Source organism: Homo sapiens, unplaced genomic scaffold (genome assembly GCF_000001405.40).
Source record: "Homo sapiens unplaced genomic scaffold, GRCh38.p14 Primary Assembly HSCHRUN_RANDOM_CTG42".
Classification (NCBI taxonomy): Eukaryota; Metazoa; Chordata; class Mammalia; order Primates; family Hominidae; genus Homo; species Homo sapiens.
Window position 1 is genome coordinate 140,055 of NT_187513.1, and position 4,103 is coordinate 144,157.

General features: G+C 39.6%; 1 annotated feature.

Annotated features, from left to right (window-relative positions):
- Positions 462-963: an enhancer, noted in NCBI's record as "OCT4 hESC enhancer chr1:142921538-142922039 (GRCh37/hg19 assembly coordinates)". NCBI's record gives its function as "activates a minimal SCP1, AML or CMV promoter by ChIP-STARR-seq in primed H9 embryonic stem cells {active_cell/tissue: H9 hESC(primed)}" and the evidence as "EXISTENCE:reporter gene assay evidence [ECO:0000049][PMID:30033119]".

The window sequence follows — 4,103 nt, forward strand, 5'->3', positions numbered from 1 at the left end:
GATTTCACACTATTAGGACTAATCCTCTAAGTCTTTGCTAAGTTATGTTCCTCTTTTTCTTGTAGCTTGACTCTGATGATCTCTATATGCAACATCAATTGACATAAATTAAAGTACATTCAGGGCAAGAGAGTTTCTTTAAATATTACTTTGTTATTCAAAATAATCACAAAAGCACTCATCGTAGGAAAACTTGTGAGGACTCAAATACAGGGAAATACTTTTTCTTTCTAAGGCACAATTCTCTAAAGAAGTTCACCTTAATTTGAATATACATGGGAAAATATCCTTGTTCACTAATAGTCTATATTCACTCTGTTTTCTTCCCTCATAGACTAGCCGGTTCACTATTATTCTCCAAATGATGTGTGCTTCTCTAGAGTCCAGGCTATCTGCATATCTAATTTTTCCCACAAATTACTGTTTTGAATTGCACTGAATTCAATTCAAGGGGATGTCATTTATAAACAGTGCAAATATATACTGCACGAGGGATCTTAGAAATCATACACATGGTTTGATCCATAAGCTCATATGAGCGTGCAATGTCAACTTTTTTCATGTTTTTTTAAATCCACTTAAATTCTATTTTAAGCCATCATCTGTCTGTGCTGTTAGGGCAGTTAGCCTTCAATCATTTTAAGATGCTCCCCTCTAAGTACTGTGATAGTGATAGAGATATCACCAGTCAGGTGTCCTAGGAAGCCGACTCCGAGTTGGAGATTTGCATGCAAGGAGGTTGAAATGATATTCCCAACACCTGTGGAAGAGTGAAAGCAATAGGATTGGGTGGAGCAGGAAGTCGGCTGGAATGCAATCACTATCATGGCCGCAGTCCACTCTACAAGATCTTGGTGAGTTTACCTAATGACCTCGAATTGTAGCAAGAAAACCAGGCCATTATATTTCTGTACCAAGCAGTTCTCGGATGTGGGATGCCTTGAGAAGGGACATGAACTTGGATGAAGGAACTTTACTGTGCTGTGAGTATTGTTGCCAGGAGTCAGCTGTCAACACTCCCAGGAGACGGGAAATTATGCTTTAGTCACTGAGGCGGCATGTAGTGTCAGACCACAGCCTTGTTAAACAGAGCCAGAATTTGGAGGATGGTTGGTGGGTTTAACATTTGGGGCTTGACATCTTGTCACCACAAGCTGCTGCTGGCCTCTTCCTTGTCCATTTCTGTGTGACCTGTTAAGGAGCCCCAGCTTCCTGCTTCTTCTTTACCATATTTGGAATGCAAAAATCTACACGTAATTTGGCCCATGGACCCTTCTGCTTAGACATATCCTTGTAGCTATTTTTTTTTTAAAAGATGACTATGCCTTCTAGAATATTTCTAAGAAACTGCCTAAGTCACCACTGCTCACCAAGAGGCCTTTGTTTTTTCCTCTTCTTAACCATGGGAAAGGAATGTAGGAGGGTAGGGAGTGGATATTTTCTAACCTGGAAAAAACTCATTTTACCCTATATGATTTTTGTTAACAAATTCCTTCTTTGCACTTACTCCACAATCTTTCCAAATTCTCCCAAATGCTCAAGCTTTTAAAAAACAAAAGACAGAAAGCAGGTTATTAGGTTTTCCAACAAACCTTTTCTTTCTATTCCTTTACATCAGTGGGCTTAGAATAACTCTGCTCCTGGAACTGGGAAAGGCACTTGGGAAAAGAAAGAAAAAAAAAAAGCTCTCAAAGTTTAACATCACAAAACATTATAGTCACTGCTATTTTATTATTTATTTATTTATTTATTTATTTATTTATTTATTTTTAGATGGAGTCTTGTTCTGCCACCAGGCTGGAGTGCAGTGGTGCGATCTCGGCTCACTGCAACCTCAGCGTCCTGGGTTCAAGCGATTCTCCTGCTTCAGCCTACTGAGTAGCTGGGACTACAGGCGTGTGTCACCACACCCAGCTAATTTTTGTATTTTTAGTAGAGACGGGGTTTCACCATATTAGCCAGGATGATCTCGATCTCCTGACCTTGTGATCCGCCCGCCTTGGCCTCCCAAAGTGCTGGGATTACAGGCATGAGCCACCGTGAGTGACCTTGCTTTGTAATTTTTACATCATATATCCCCTGTGTTAGACCAAGAGCTTGTAAAAACCAGAAGACATACACCATTTATAGTTCAATTAGAGATGTTCACTGATAAAACTTATTCTTCCATCTGAGGGTGGTATTTGTAGTTACAGTAATGTAGATGACAATCTAAGTTATGTTCTATGAACTGTGTCACTGACATCTCAATCTACAGCTAACTTTAATTTTTTAAAAGCAGAGGAGTGGGTTGTATAGGTTTAGAAATACATTCATCAAGCTAGTTAAGTGAGATATTCAAACCTTCAACTCACTTGAATATTTACCAAATTGACTATTCATTAGCTAAAGGAGCCATATAAACAAGGTACTTTTTAAAATTCAAAATTATGTAAGGTTTTGTTTCCTTTTTATGCTGTTATGAATTGGATTGTAGAGGTTATAAGGTAAAATAAGGTTACTTTTACAGTAAAGCATACAACACATTGTCACAAGAGGGCAGCCTTTGAACATGAATTTCTTCTCAGGCATTCCTTGAAATTTTGAGACAGTTACTTTAATTAACACAACTAAATAATAAAACACTACAGAGGATCTAAGAAGATACTTTGACTTATGCATATTGTTACTTTTTTATTACTGCTAGTGGAAGATGTAATCTACAAGGAAGGCAAGGGCTGAATTTGTTTTATGTAAGAAGACAAATTTCTTTGGGTTTTAGCTTTCAAACAAGATAGTAGGTCAATGTCTAAATGAGTGTATCAAAGTTCTCACACTAGCACATGTAAATCCACCTCTTATCTACCCAAAACTCTAACCAAGCAAAGGCAAGTTGGAAGAATCAGACAAATGTAAGTGCCTAGGATACATAAATGCCACTGGATTTTATGTTTTTAACTTGCAACCTCCCAAGTTTCACTAAGAGACATGTTATTTGGAGAGGTTGCTAAAGTGTAGTTGTATGATGTCTCTGTGTATGGTTGGTCTGGACCTCTTTCTGTCCAGTGGTTGCCCTCAATTGATTAGAGTCACCTCTCTAAAGATCATGCTTACGTCCCTGGAGCAGTCCACAGCACTATCAATGTCTGACCTCCACCTTTTTCCAATTAATATTTCTGTACTTACTGAATTGGAAAACATACAGGTGTTTTTTGCCTGGTCACTTGTGGTTTTACAACACTCCCCCCGCTTCCGCACCACTGCCCCAGGTGATTTTGTTGCCAGCCAAAGTGTGAGAACTACTGGCAGCTGCTGGCAGACAGCAGCAAAGGCCCAAATCCTCGGTGTGATTTCAAGACCCCTATCTAGTTTTCAGCCATATTTCCTTCTCCTTCTCACAGCTGAGCCCACTCCTCCTGCCTCACCACCTGTAGGCTATGCTTTCCAGCCTGTGTCCAGGATTAGTCCTGATGTAAGGCACGTGGGGTTTAAGGATCTCTCTCTTCAGTCTTATTTCCGCACCATCGCTGACACATATATTCCAGTTGTAATCATGGGGCTACCTCCTTTTCTTTCCAGTCCCATGCTCATTTTCTCTATCACATTCTACCTTGTAATAACCTAAATCTTCTGGTGGGCAAGCTTCTTCCTCAATCAAATTTGTGTTTATGATTGTGTTGGGGATTGGCTTAGTAATCCAGGTACTGCTGCTGCCTTGAAAGCGGAGACTGCATCCTTCTGTCTGGATATCTTGAGTTTCTGGATTGTAAACCTTATTAGGACCCATTTTTCCTAGAATTGGAGCCTCTACTTTGTTCTTGCTACTTTAGTTCACCCAGAAATCACGATCTCTGCCTGAATTTCAAAGTGTTGGCTAGCTTAAATATCCTTTTGTGAGACTTTCGTCTTCCAGCGGGGTGATTTTTTCATCTTACATACCATTGCTAATCTTTTTATCTTGAATGTAATTGAAATAGTTTTAATCTGTGTTACAAGCAACAAGAACCCCTTTTATGAGATGAAGAGGCCAGGTCAGTCTCATAACATGTGTCCCCCTCCGTGTGTTGAATTTATGTCAGAGCCAGGTTCTTTCCTATTTGACGTCTCTCACCAAATTCCAGTGT